Below are 14,071 nucleotides of genomic sequence, written 5' to 3'. Positions count from 1 at the left end.
TCGGCCTCCCAAAGTCCTGGGATTACAGGAATGAGCCACCACACCTGGCCATCTAAGAAATTTCTTAATCAAAAAGAAGTTAAAAGGTAGAAAAATATGCATCTTGTAATCAACTAAACAGGATAAAAGCATATTCTATGAAAAACTAAGGCATCATATTTGGTTTGAAAAATGTTCTGAGAAACAACAAAAAGTGAAACTTCATTTAGTTTCCAAAACCCTTAGACCTTAACTGTGTTTCCATTTATAACGTTACCTTAGTTCACCCAGTACTCAAGACAACTTCATCTTCCAGAAAGAGACAGCTAAATGCCCTAAGAGGTAGTTTCAAAGTTAACTGAGAGAAATGGGGGAATAAAAGAGCATTCGTTTTATAATTTTAAAGGAGCTGTTTAAAATTGTCTTTAAGTTGCCTATCCAAATACCTTACAAGAGGATTCTTAGCTCATCGGCAGTAAACCCTCTGAAAAAGATACATAAAATTAGTTTACGTGTACCCATTTTCTCTGAGAAAATTCTTCAATTTCTCAAAAGAATCCCTGTCTCAAAAAGGCAAACAATCATTTTCCTAAAAAAATTTTTTCAGCCAGGCGCGGTGGCTCATGCCTGTAATCCCAGCACTTTGGGAGGCCAAGGCGGGTAGATCATCTGAGGTCAGGAGTTTGAGACCAGCCTGGACAACATGGTGAAACCCCGTTTCCACTAAAAATACAAAAATTAACCGGGCGTGCTGGCACGCACCTGTAATCCCAGCTACTTGGGAGGCTAAGGCAGGAGAACTGCTTGAACCCGGGAGGCAGAGGTTGCAGTGAGCCAAGATCGCGCCACTGCACTTCAGCCTGCGCAACAGAGCAAGACTCCATCTAGGAAAAAAAAAAATTTTTTTTCAACTATATTTTACCAATTAAAGAGTCATAAAATAGGCTGGGTGCAATGGTTCAGACCTATAATCGCAGTGCTTTGGGAGGCTGAGGCGGGAGGATTACTTGAGCCCAGGAGTTCAAGACAAGCCTGGACAACATAGCGAGACTCTGTCTCTAAAATAATAATAATAGGCTGGGCACACTGGCTCACATCTGTAATCCCAGCACTTTGGGAGGCCAAGGTGGGCAGATCACTTGAGGCCAGGAGTTCAAGACCAGCCTGGCCAACATGGCAAAACCCCATCTCTACTAAAAATTACAAAAATTAGCCAGGCATGGTGGTGCACGCCTGTAATCCCAGCTACTTGGGAGGCTGAGGCACGAGAACTGCTTGAACACAGGAGGTAAAGGTTGCAGTGAGCCGAAATCACACCACTGCAGTCCAGCCTGAGCAACAGAGCGAGACTCAGCTAAAAAAAAAAAAAAAAAATTAATAAGAAGAAGAAAAAGAAAAAAAAGAAATAAAATATCTAAATGACATTGCCAGATCTAGGCTAAGTCTGGTTTGTTTTTTTAGGGGGAAGAGGGAAGGCAGAAAATAGATTCATTCATTGCAAAACAAATGAAGCATAGGAAATAATGCATATTCTCTTATTAAAAAAAAAATTATTTGGCTGGGTGTGGTAGCTCACATCTGTAACACCAGCACTTTGGGAGGCCAAGGTGGGAGGATTGTTTGAAGCCAGGAGTTCGAGACCAGCCTGGCCTATGAGACCCTTTCTGCATAAACAATTTTTTTTTTAAATTAAAACGAGTGTGGTATGCACCTGCAGTCCCAGCTACTCAGGAGGGTGAGGCAAGAGGATCCCTTGAGCCCAAGTGTTTCAGGCTGCAGTGAGCTATGATCACACCACTGCACTCCAGCCTGGGCAACAAAGTGAGACCCTATCTCTTAAAAAAAAAAAAAAAAGGTTTTGAAGAGTTTCTTTAATGTAAGTCAGTGTAGGCCAGGTGTGGTGGCTCAGGCCTGTAATCCCAGCACTTTGGGAGGCTGAGGTGAGCGGGATCACCTGAGGTCAGGAGTTTGAGACCAGCCTAACCAACATGGAGAAACCTCGTCTCTACCAAAAATACAGAATTAGCTGGGCATGGTGGCGCATGCCTGTAATCCCAGCTACTCAGGAGGCTGAGGCAGAAGAATCGCTTGAACCCAGGAGGCGGAGGTTGCAGTGAGCCGAGATCGCTCCACTGCACTCCAGCCTGGGCAATAAGAGCAAAACTCAGTCTCAAAAAAAAAAAATATATATATATATATGTCAGTGTTGAGTCTAATAAAGATGTTCCTAATAAGGAAAACTTTAAGTATACAACAAATACTTTCTAAATTATCAGACTGGAGTTTTCTAAAAATGGAACACATCTATATTTCATTACCTCAATCAAATTATTTAATAAAATCAAAACTATAAAAGGTTGGCCAGGAGTGGTGGCTCAGGCCTCTAATTAGGATTACATTTTGGGAGGCTGAGATGGGCAGATCACTTAAGGTCAGGGGTTCAAGACCAGCCTGGCCAACATGGTGAAACCCTGTCTCTACTAAAAATACAAAAAGAATTAGCCAGGTTTCATGGCGCACGCCGGTAATCCCAGCTACTCGGGAGGCTGAGGCAAGAGAATCGCTTGAACCCAGGAGGCAGAGGTTGCAGTGAGCTGAGATCGTGCCACTGCACTCCAGCCTGGCAAAAGAGTGAGACTCCATCTCAAAAAAAAAAAAAATTTTTTTTTGTTATGCATATCATAAAAGAGGCACTCTTTCTGGCTCTAGACTCACTGCTATAATGCTTTAGATAAATAATGCAAAAGTTCCAAGGAGGTTCAGTACTAAAGCACCCACACTAAGCTACAATCCTTAGCAGGAGTTATTTGAAAAGATAGTTCCAGCCGGGCATGGTGGCTGACGCCTGTAAAACCAGCACTTTGGGTGGCTGAGAAAGGAGGATCCTTTGAACCCAGGAGTTTGAGACCAGCCTGGACAAAATAGTGAGACCCTACCTCACTTAACAATACTGAAGAAAAAAAAATTAGCCGGGCGTAGTCATGCCTGTAGTCCCAGCTACTCAGGGGGCTGAGGTGGGAGGACTGCTTGAGCCTAGGATGTGGAAGCTGCAGTGAGCCATGATCACACCACTGTACCCCAAACTAAGTGACAGAGAAAGACCCTGAAAAAGTTCCTTTCAAAAGAAAGGGGGTGAACTTGTTAAAAGTCTTCATTAGCTACTGACTTGATCCACAATTTATTTTTCTAGTAACAATAAAATTCCGACTTGCTTAGGTAGCAAAATAAGAAACTACACAAAAAGATAGTAAGGCCAAAAAAGATTGTATAGTATTCAGAATGGACAGAAGAAACTATCTTTGCCCATCCTACATCTATATGGCCCAAAACTAAGAATCACGTGGATTGGCGATATTAAATAAGCGAAAGCAGGATGAATAAAAAAATTCTGTGAAATACAGGTCTCACAAATCTCCAATGCAGATCCTGTGGGTAAGAGACAAGAGCCAACTATTTCAGGGTGAAAAAGATCAGTTAGAAACCTATTAATATATAAAAGTTAAAGGAATTACAGTATGAAAAATGTAAAGAATGACTGGCAGTCCCACTGCCTTCACGAATGACTATGCCAAAAAGGGAAAAGAGTTTAACTTGAAAATAAATTATACTAAATGTTCAAGGACTAACATTTAATAAGGGAGAAGAGTGATATGGTAGGGAAAGCTTTGTGCCAACTTTCAACTGCAGCTGTAGTGAAATACACTAAAAGCCTTGTCTTAAGACAAAAGCAGTAAAATAAAAACAATGGTTTTAAACATATCCCCAGTGTCAACTGCTCATGACCATAAATTTGCCTTTTTCTAATGAACAACTAATGGGATAAAAGGCCATATAAGGGAAAAAGTAGTCGAAAATACAATCGAACAAACTTCTCACACAAGACTAAACCATAAAACCTGTTTACAAATTTTCATACATGTCAGAATTAAAGGTAAAAACACTCAAAGCTTAAGAAATCTAACATCACAAAGCACGAGATTAAATCATTCTTTTAAACAAGGACTGAAGTTCAGAAGCATTTAATTTAAATCAGTGTATTAACACAAGGAATCCTTCCATACTTCCTATTTCAGAGAGGGTTCTCCACACTCCTTTCCCAGACTTATGCACAAATATTACAACTTGCAACCCATTATTTTCTCTCATGTACAAGTTTTGTTTTGTTTTGTTTTGTTTGCTCTTGTTTTTAACTTTATTGGAGTGAGATTATTCTAACTAGTACCCATTTATTTATTTTAAATATCGGTTGTACCAAACAATGACACTTTTTGGAAATCAAACTTTATTCCACTAACATTAGCCAGCAGATTTTGCTAAACAATGTTTTGTCAGAAAAGGCATCATGGCCGGGCGCAGTGGCTCACGCCTGTAATCCCAGCACTTTGGGAGGCAGAGGCGGGTTGATCACAGGGTCTGGAGTTCGAGACCGGCCTGGCCAATATGGTGAAACCCCATCTCTACTAAAAATACAAAAATTAGCTGGGCGTGGTGGCGTGCGCCTGTAGTCCCAGCAGCTTGGGAGGCTGAGGCAGGAGAATAGCTTGAATCTGGGAGGCGGAGGTTGCAGTGAGGCGAGATCGCGCCACTGCACTCCAGCCAGGGTGACAGAGCGAGACTCCGTCTCAAAAAAAAAAAAGAAAGGTATCACATACATTCAATTTTGTACAACTAATTTTTCCAGTATGCATAAAAATTTATATTTGACAACAGAGAATATGCTTCATCATAAACACAGCAATATCTTTTCCACTTTGTTACTAATAAGTTGCATGTTTTCTTAGTAATTTTAAATACCTCCATCTGAAAAGTATAGGGTAGGCTGACCACAAAAGATGAAGCCTAACAGTTGGTAGGGGTACCGCACTTACATAATATTCTAAAAACGTGCTTTTCCTAGGTACTCAGTGACTATATACAGTAGTGAATATTAAACATTCCTGTATCAATCCCATTTCCTACAAAGTTGACCTAATTTCAAGCATAAAACTGAGGTTTCCACCTTTAGAAGGGTAGAAAACAAGAGTTAAGTAATTGGGTAGTCCTAAAAATACACATCACAACTACATGACTAAGATACTCATTTAAAACTTGTGCCAAGATAACCCCTCCCTTCCAAACTAAAATTGACTCACTGGCCTATTTTACTTAATTTTGAAAATAAAAAAATAAAACTAAATGGATTCCTAAGCACTCATTTCCTCTCTCTGCCCCCATCATTTAAAATATTCAGACTTTCAATCTGTGATTCCTCCCTGCAAAAACACTCAAGTAAAAACAAAACAAAACAAACACTCATTATCTCCAAGTTAACTACCTTGGAGTTAAAAAAAAATCATTAGATTCTGGAATGATAACCACTGTTCTAAGACCATATAAAACAACAGAAACAATGTCTGTGGTCGCTAAGGAACCATACATCCCACCCAGAGAAACGATCTCGCCTCAGATGATACTTGTCATCTGTGAGACCACCCCTTTAGCTAGAGTTAACCACTTGAGCAGGTTTCAATTTTGTCTCTGAAAGTAGGAAGCTATCAGTCTCCCTACATGACTCGTTCCACCCTTTGTGGATACTTCTACCTGTAGAAAAAAAGGTTGGCAAACTTGGTGGCATGGTGAGGACAAAGGGCATTTTGAAAGAACCAGTGACTGAGGTAAGCAGAGAATGTGAACGGAAAGAGGGTTAAAGTTCCCCCAAATGGATAATGACAAGACGACGCGGGCACCCTTTTTTTTTTTTTTTTTTTTTTTACCACCCCTAGGGTCCCATTCTTCACCACCACCCATTGGAATGCAAAGTTGGCACTACCACTACCCAAGATGCCCAACAAATCCTCAAAATGTCAGGGCACTCGGCAGCTTCTGAAATGACAAGCTGGTGCCCCTCCCCCACCCCACCCCCACCCCCACCCCCCAAAAAAGAAAAGTCCAATCCAGTCGGTGCAGGTCACCCTGCCCTCTGGGGCAGTTCCAGCCTGCGCAGGGAGGGGTTCCGACCGGAGAACGAAAAAGCACAGATAGACCACCGCTCTTTCCACCCACCCTCAGCGGGGGAAACAAAGGCGGCCTCCTCCGCCCGTAGACACTACCCTAACCAGAGAGGCTCTCCGATTTCCCGGTGCAGCCTGCCCTCCCGCCCCCGCCCGAGCCCCCGCCCCCATGACAAAGAAAAGGCACTCGGCGAGCAAGGCCTTCCTGCCTCCAGGGATGGGGGAGGGGGCTGCACGGGTGAGAAGCCCCCTCCACTCGCCCGTGCTCATACTCCTGGTCCCAGGAACTGCAGAAAGCGGCGGGGAGCCGGAGGCCTCGGCCGCGGAAGCAGGGTCCGGGAGGAGGGTGAGGGTACCTTGAAGTAGCCGCCTTCGTAGAGGGTGTTGGGGGGTCCGAAGATGGCCACCTCCCAGTTGTAGAGGTCGGACTCGTCCACCAGGGTGATCCGGAAGCCCTCCACCGGTTCCTCCTGCAGGGATTTCAGCTCGAGCATCAGGGCCTTCTGCGAGCTGGTCATCTGCTGCTGGGCCATCGCGGCGGCGGCGGCGGCGGCGGCGCCGGGCCCGGGCCCCAGTCCTCACGCACCGGCCGGGCCGGACCAGGCCCCTCCCCTCCGCTCGCCCTCCGGCCGGGCAGCACCGGGCCCCGGTCTTCACACACCCGGCGGGCCAGACCAGGCCCCACACGGCCCGTGGGCCCGCCCGGGGTCCTCCTCACACACGACGCAGGCCGGGCCGGGCCCTTCTCCTCACACTCGGGCCGGGCGAGAGGAGAGGTCGAGGGAGTTAGGAGAATTCGCTACGGGTCCCGGTCCCGGGCCTCCCCCCCCCGGAGGGGGCCTCAACTTGGGGGGGGGGAGAGGAGGTGGAAGCGGAGGAAGGCGGCGGAGGGCCGGCGATGGTGAAGGGAGGGGGCCGGGCCGGCCCGGGAACGCCGCGCTCGCTCGCCCTCTCGTTCTCTTCGGGGGCCGCAGGGGCCGGAGGGCGCGCGGGGCAGGAGAGGGTGGGGGGAGAGCGGCGTGCGGGGGTCTCGCGGCGGTGGCGGCGGGGGCTGCGCGGGGGGAGGGGCGACGGCGGAGGAGGAGGAGAGCGAGAGCGCCTCGCGCCGCGGGAGCAACGGAGCCGAGAAGCAGGGAGGGAGGGAGGGAGGGAGAGAGGGAGGAGGGGCGCACGCCGGGTGCTGGGCGGCTCTCAGCGGCTGGCGGCCCGACGCGCGTGCGCGTGCCCCTCCCTCCCCTCCCCCCACCGTGCCTGGCTCTCCTCCACTACCACCTCCTCCTCCTCCCGTTTCCACGCCTCCTCTCGGTCTCCCGCGCGGTCGCGGCGCTTTGTGACGCTGGCGCGTGTCCCCCGCCCATAAAGATCCCAGAAGCAGCGGGGACCAAGGGCGGGCGCAGGGATTGCCGTGGCCCCAGAGTGACGGTTGTGCGGCTGGACGCCGCAGTTCCAAAGGCGTGCCCGGGAAGGGAACCCAGGTCTCCCGGCTCTCGGGGCCCTCCCCACTGTGGATCCAGGGGCCTCCGCAGCCATCCTGGGACGGGCCTGGTCGCTGCAGGCCCCTCCCCGTGACACCCAGTCTGCGGTCCCTCCACTTAGTAGCTACTTGATTAGGATGTGCTGACAATGTGGGTCTTTTCGGTGGGAACAGACCTTCCCGCAGGCCAGCCCACAGGCAAGTGTGCCCTTTGGCACGTTACTCACCCTGGGTGCGGCAGTTCCACGTGAGAAACGGGGTGAGACAAAAAGGTCAGCTTCTGCTTCCCTTCTTAACTACAAAGAGGAAGTTGTGAGGAAAAAGACAATAACAAACTGGGTCTCTAGCCCTTCTCATTGTGATTTGGGGCAAGTGCTCAGGCTGCCCTTCGCCTTCGCCATTTGTAAAATAAACTACTGTGGTTGAACTTAGGGGTCAAAGTTCCCTATAGGTGCTTGTGGCTTGAATGTCCACCCTGGAACTGAGGGACTTTCGAGATAATCATAACCGAAGTGAGATGTGGGGACAGTCTTTGGTCCCCCCGTGGTTCAGAATACAGTACTCCTTTCTCCTAGGAAGGCATGTCCTAGGATAACTGCCTAAAAAACATTTCCTAGAAAAGCCAGAATATTGTGAGAGTTCTACACACACAGTTTCGGAACTAGACAGATCTTGGTTCCAACCCTAGTTCCATTACTTCTCCCTGTATCATCAGTTTTTTGTTTTTTGGTTTTGTTTTGTTTGAGACAGGGTCTTGCTCTGTCACCCAGGCTGTAGCACAGTGGCGCGATCATGGCCCACTGCAACCTCCGCCTCCCAGGTTCAAGCGATTCTCCCACCTCAGCCTCCCAAGTAGCTAGGACTACAGGTGCATGCCTCCACACCCGGCTGTTTAATCAGCTTCTGTAAAAGGGGATTAATTATACCCAACACAAGCAATTGTAATGATTAAATGTATGTACAGCATTTAGCGTAGTGACTGGCACATGGTTAATGATTCATAGAAACTTGAAAGAAAAAAACTTTAAGGCATAGCTGTATTCTGGATACCACCACTACCCACCCCTTTTATTGAGACAGGGTCTTACTCTGTTGCCCAGGCTGGAGTACAGTAGAGTGATTATAGCTCACTCTAGCAGTAACCTCCTGGGCTTAAGCCATCCTCTAACCTCAGTCTCCCAAGTAGCAGGACCACAGGTGTGCACAGCCATGCCCAGCTAATTTTTGTATTTTTAGTAGAGACGGGATTTCACCATGTTGGCGAGGCTGGTCTCCAACCCTTGACCTCAGGTGATCCGTCCACCTCAGCCTCCCAAAGTGCTGGGATTACTGGCGTGAGCCACTGTGCCCAGCCAAGGACAGTTTTAGATTTATAGAAAAATTGAAAAGATAGTCAAGTTCCCCTACACCTGGCGCCCAGTTCCCCCTTTTATTAACATATTACATTAGTAGAGTACATGTATTACAATTAATGAGCTAATATTGATACATCACTGTTGACTGAAGCTCATACTTCCCTAATTTTTACCTACTGACCTTTTGCTGTTCCAGGATCTCATCCAGGATACCAGACTACATTCAGTTTTCCTGTTTCTGTAGATTCCTCTTGACTGTGGCAGTTTCTTAGACTTTGTTCTGATGACCTTAACAGTTTTGAAGAATACTGGTCAAGTATTTTGTAGACTGTCCCTCAATTGGGATTGTGATGCTTTTCTCATGATTAGACTGGGATTATGAGTTTTTGAGGGTAAGATCACAGAGGTGAAATGCCATTTCATCACATCATATTAAGGGCACAAATAGCAACATGACTTAGCAATGTTGATGTTGACCTTGATTGTCTGGCTGAGGAAGTGTGTCAAGTCTTTCTACTGTAAAGTTACTCTGCCCCTTCCTCCCCTTTTCTATACTGTACTCTTTGGAATGGAGTCACTCTACACAATCCACACTTAAGCAGCCCCCCCTCCTTTTTTTTTGGCCTTTTTTTTCCTGTAAAAGACGAGGTCTCAGTGTTTTAAAACATCCTTTTCTAGCCGCCAACGCTACTGTCCAGGTCTTGAGACCGAACTCTACTGGAATTAGAGCTCCCCTCAGAGAAGAGGGAGTATCCTAGTGAATGCAGCCCCTCTTATCAAAATGATGGTTTATGTCCCATTCTGTCTTTCCCTCCAGTACCAGTCAATTTAGGGACAAGAGGATTGCTGACCCGGAAATGTGAAAGATGATGTTGACACCTTTAATAGCAAGGCGGTGAGCAGATAAATAGGTAGAAAGGTCATCTTCAAAGCATTTCACCCACAAAAACTCATCACAGCCCCACCCTGACCTGGAGGGTGATGAAGCCCTAGTCTAACCCACTGGAACGTATACCTGGCACTCAGACCAGAAGCGGCCCCCTGGGCTCATGTCAACTCACAAACTCACTAAGCATCCACTGCGGGCATGCCTCTATGCTGGGAGGTTGGAAGCTCAATGCGTTAATGAGTTTTATAATCAAGGCTGTTTATTCTCAGGTCACAGGAACTGGAATTCCACAGAACTAGCTCATGTGTTTTTATTCTAGCCAGTAAGACATTGTTTATTAGTAGACTGCCACTGTGTCTTATTCATGCCTGAATCCTCAGCAACAGGCACACCATCTGACACAAAGTAGACACTAAGTAATTGTTCTCAAGAGACTCATGGCCAAGGACAGGAAGACAATGAGTAATCACAAAATCACAAATTGAACCCTACCCTCTATCCCCATGCCTATCTGTTCTCTCAAGCACATAGTAGGTGCTCAAGACTATAAATTCCAAAACTCTACACCAGCTACTCCAATGTTTGGCACATATTAAGTGCTCAAAACATATTTGTTAAAAAGAATGAATGCTAGAAACAGCTTCCTAGAGCTTTCTCATATTGTTTCATAATGGCATGTAGATTGACTTGCCTGATTGGTGCCCTCTGGTGGTAAAGAAAAACAGCACTCAAAATTTAAATTTAAAAAATAATATTTTTTTTTAAAAAGAAAACAGAGCGCTTAACGCTCAGTGTCAGGCATCACCTGGTACTTTCCAACCAGGGTACTTCTTCTTCTTCCTCTTCTTTTTTTTTTTTTTTTTTTTTTAACTGAGACAGAGTCTTGCTCTGTCACCCAGGCTGGAGTGCAGTAGCATGATTTTGGCTCGCTGCAACCTCCGCCTCCTGGGTTCCAGCAATCCTCCCACCTCAGTCCCCGGAGTAGCTGGGACTACAGGCGCAGTGCCACCACACCGGACTAATTTTTGTATTTTTAGTAGAGACAAGGTTTCATTATGTTGCCCAGGCTGGTCTTGAACTCCTGAGCTCAAGCAATCCGCCCACCTCAAACTCTCAAAGTGCTGAGATTACAGGTGTGAGCCACCATGGCAGGCCCACTACTAATTTTAGAGGAAGACTGTGGCTCCTTAAGAGTAGTGTCCAAGTTTTACATATATGTTAACATATTAAATTTCAAAAAGTTGGCCAGGCGCAGCGGCTCATGCCTGTAATCCCAGCACTTTGGGAGGCTGAGGCAGGCAGATCATTTGAGGTCAGGAGTTCGAGATCAGCCTCGCCAACATGGTGAAACTTTTTTCAACATGGTTAAATTTTTTTCCTAAGTATTTTATTTTCTTGTAGCTATTATAAATGGGATTTCCTTCTTGAATTCTTTCTCGGCTAGTTATTACTGGTGTATAGAAATGCTACTAATTTTTGTATGTTGATTTTTTTATCCCACAACTTTTTTTTTTTTTTTTTGAGACAGAGTCTTGCTCTGCAGCCCAGGCTGGAGTGCAGTGGAGCAATCTTGGATCACTGCAACCTCTGCCTGCTGGGTTCAAGCGCTTGTCCTGTCTCAGCCCCCTGAGTAGCTGGGACTACAAGCACATGCCACCATGCCCGGCTAATTTTTGTGTTTTTAGTTGAGATGGGGTTTCACTGTATTGGTCAGGCTGGTCTTGAACTCCTGACCTTAGGTGATCCTCCCGTCTTGGCCTCCCTAAATGCTGGGATTACAGGCGTGAGCCACCATGCCTGGCCATATCCTACAACTGTACTGAACTTATTTATCAGATCTAAGAGCTTTTGCTGGAGTTGTTAGGTTTTTGTAAATACAAGATCATGTCATCTGCATAGAGGGACAATTTTACTTTCTCTTTTCCAATTTGGATATCTTTTGCTTGTTTCTATTGCCTGATTGCTCTGGCTAAGACTTCCAGTACTGTGTTGAATATGAGTGGCGAAAATAGACATCCTTGTCTTGTTCCAGTTCCTAGAGGAAAAGCTGAAAGCTATGATAGTATGATGTTAACTGTGGGTTTGTCATATGTAGGCTTTATTATGTTGAGGTATTATACACTCCTTCAATGCCTAGTTTGAGAGTTTTTATCATGAAGAGATTTTGAATTGTATCAAATGCTTTTTCTACATCTCTTGAAATGACCTTATGGTTTTTGTCCTTCTTTCTGTTGATGTGATGTGTCGTCTTTGTTGATTTGTGTATGTTGAACTACCTCTGCATTTTTGGGACAAATCCCACTTGATCCTGGCATGTTATCTTTTTGATGTGCAGTTGGATTCAGTTGGTTAGTATTTGTTGAAAATTTTTACATCTGTGTTTATCAGGGATATTAGAGTGTAGCTATCTTTTTTTGTTGTTGTTGCAGTCTTACCTGGTTTTGCTATCAGGGTACTGCTAGCCTAGTAGAATGAGGAAGAATTCCCTCCTTTTCAATTTTTTGGAATAGTTTGAGGAGAATTGGTGTTAGTTTGTCTTTGTTAGTTTGGTAGAATTTGGTATTAAAGTCATTAGCAGTGAAGCCATTGGGTCCTGGGCTTTTCACTGTGGAGATACTTTTTATTATGGATTCAATTTCATTACTCATGATTGGTCTGTTCTGGTTTTCTGTTTATTCCTGATTCAATCATGGTCGGTTGTATGTGTAAAGGAATTTATCCATTTCCTCTAAGTTTTCTAGTTTATTAATATAGTTGTTCATAATAGTGTCTGATGATTTTTTGTATTTCTGTGGTGTCAGCTGTAATGTCTACTTTTATTTATTTATTTATTGAGATGGAGTCTCGCTCTGTTGCCCAGGCTGGAGTGCAGTGGCATGATCTCAGCTCACTGCAAGCTCCACCTCCCAGGTTCCAGTGATTCTCCTGCCTCAGCCCTCTGAGTAGCTGGGATTACAGGCATGCCCCACCACATCCAGCTAATTTTTTTGTATTTTTTTTAGTAGAGATGGGGTTCCACCCTGTTGGTCAAGCTGGTCTCGAACTCCTGAACTCCTGACCTCGTGATCCACCCACCTTGGCCTCCCAAAGTGTTATTTATTTTTTGACACCGGGTCTTGCTCTGTTGCCCAGCCTGGAGGGCAGTGGTGTGATCATGACTCACTGTAGCCTCAACCTCCGGGGCCGAAGTGATCTTCCCACCTCGGACTCCTGAGTAGCCAGGAGTACAAGTGTGTCCGGAATTGGTGGGTTCTTGGTCTCGCTGACTTCTAGAAGGAAGCCGTGGACCCTCACGGTGAGTGTTACAGTTCTTAAAGATGGTGTGTCCGGAGTTTGTTCCTTCAGATATTCAGATGTGTCCAGAGTTTCTTCCTTCTGGTGGGTTCGTGGTCTCGCTGACTTCAGGAGTGAAGCTGCGGACCTTCGCGGTGAGTGTTACAGCTGGCCAGTTTCCTTAGAATATTTTTTAACTTAGAGTTGGATGGCCTCCAGCTCCATCTGTGTTGCTGCAAAGGACATGATAGTTTTTTTTATGGGTGCATAGTATTCCATGGTATATGTATGCCACATTTTTTTATTCAGTTCACCATTGATGGGCACTTAGGTTAATTCTGTGTCTTTGCAATTGTGAATAGTACTGTGATGAACATATGTGTGCATGTGTCTTTATGGTAGAATGATTTATATTCCTTTGGTATATACTTAGTAATAGTATTACTGAGTCTCAGGGTAATTCTCAAGTTCTTTGAGAAATCACCAAACTGCTTTTTATAATGGCGGAACTAATTTACTTACCTATCAGTAGTGTATAAGCATTCCCTTTCCCCTGCAACTTAGCCAGCATCTATTTTTTGGATTTTTAATAATAGTCATTCTGACTGGTATGAAATGGTATCTCATTGTAGCTTTCATTTGCATTTCTCTAGTAATTAGTGATGTTGAGCATTTTTTCATGTTTGTTAGCTGTGTGTATATCTTCTTTTGAGAAGTGTCTGTTCATATCCTTTGCCCTTTGTCTTTTTAAATGAGGTTGTTTTTTGCTTGTACATTTGTTTAAGTTCCTTATAGATTCTGGATATTAGACCTTTGTCAGATGCATAATTTTCAAGCATTTTTTCCCATTCTGTAGGCTGTCTGTTTAGTCTGTTGGTAATTTCTTTTGCTATGCAGAATCTCTTTAGTTTAATTGGGTTCCACTAATCTGTTTTTGATTTTGTTGCAATCGCTTTTGGCACCTTCATCATGAAATCTTTCCAAGGTCCTGTGTCAGAAAGGTATTTCCTAGGATTTTATAGGTTTTTTTTTTCTTTTGAGACAGAGTCCTCCTCTGCTGCCCAGGCTGGAGTGCAGTGGCATGATCAGGGCTCACTGCAACATCCACCTC

General features: G+C 45.3%; 1 protein-coding gene and 1 long non-coding RNA gene across 20 annotated transcripts in view, besides 4 other annotated features; one reads left to right on the top strand and one right to left on the bottom strand.

The window, feature by feature from the left end:
• UBE2R2 (ubiquitin conjugating enzyme E2 R2) overlaps positions 1–9,092 on the bottom strand; it is a 105,232-nt gene extending 96,140 nt beyond the window's left edge. For 4 of the 5 annotated variants that reach the window (NM_017811.4, XM_011517949.2, XM_005251496.3 and 1 more), the window contains exon 1: positions 6,326–7,100. In NM_017811.4, coding sequence (NP_060281.2) covers positions 6,326–6,502 — 177 coding nt within the window. In that variant the 5' untranslated portion in view covers positions 6,503–7,100. Of the gene's footprint in view, positions 1–6,325; positions 7,101–8,979 lie in introns of those variants that run through there. The other variant, XM_047423541.1, reaches the window with a different exon arrangement.
• UBE2R2-AS1 (UBE2R2 antisense RNA 1) overlaps positions 5,392–14,071 on the top strand; it is a 94,784-nt gene continuing 86,104 nt past the window's right edge. For 14 of the 15 annotated variants that reach the window (NR_170204.1, NR_170201.1, NR_170212.1 and 11 more), the window contains exon 1: positions 5,392–5,633. This is a non-coding gene — a long non-coding RNA (UBE2R2 antisense RNA 1). Of the gene's footprint in view, positions 5,634–7,570; positions 7,716–14,071 lie in introns of those variants that run through there. The other variant, NR_170215.1, reaches the window with a different exon arrangement.
• Positions 6,481–6,650: a silencer, noted in NCBI's record as "silent region_19837". NCBI's record gives its function as "represses an Ori minimal core promoter by ATAC-STARR-seq in GM12878 lymphoblastoid cells {active_cell/tissue: GM12878}" and the evidence as "EXISTENCE:reporter gene assay evidence [ECO:0000049][PMID:35858748]".
• Positions 6,721–6,930: a silencer, noted in NCBI's record as "silent region_19836". NCBI's record gives its function as "represses an Ori minimal core promoter by ATAC-STARR-seq in GM12878 lymphoblastoid cells {active_cell/tissue: GM12878}" and the evidence as "EXISTENCE:reporter gene assay evidence [ECO:0000049][PMID:35858748]".
• Positions 7,111–7,210: a silencer, noted in NCBI's record as "silent region_19835". NCBI's record gives its function as "represses an Ori minimal core promoter by ATAC-STARR-seq in GM12878 lymphoblastoid cells {active_cell/tissue: GM12878}" and the evidence as "EXISTENCE:reporter gene assay evidence [ECO:0000049][PMID:35858748]".
• Positions 7,501–7,590: an enhancer, noted in NCBI's record as "active region_28302". NCBI's record gives its function as "activates an Ori minimal core promoter by ATAC-STARR-seq in GM12878 lymphoblastoid cells {active_cell/tissue: GM12878}" and the evidence as "EXISTENCE:reporter gene assay evidence [ECO:0000049][PMID:35858748]".

Source organism: Homo sapiens, chromosome 9 (assembly GCF_000001405.40).
Source record: "Homo sapiens chromosome 9, GRCh38.p14 Primary Assembly".
Lineage (NCBI taxonomy): Eukaryota > Metazoa > Chordata > Mammalia > Primates > Hominidae > Homo > Homo sapiens.
The sequence above is the reverse complement of the archived record's forward strand: the minus strand, read 5'-3'. Positions and strand labels throughout refer to the sequence as shown.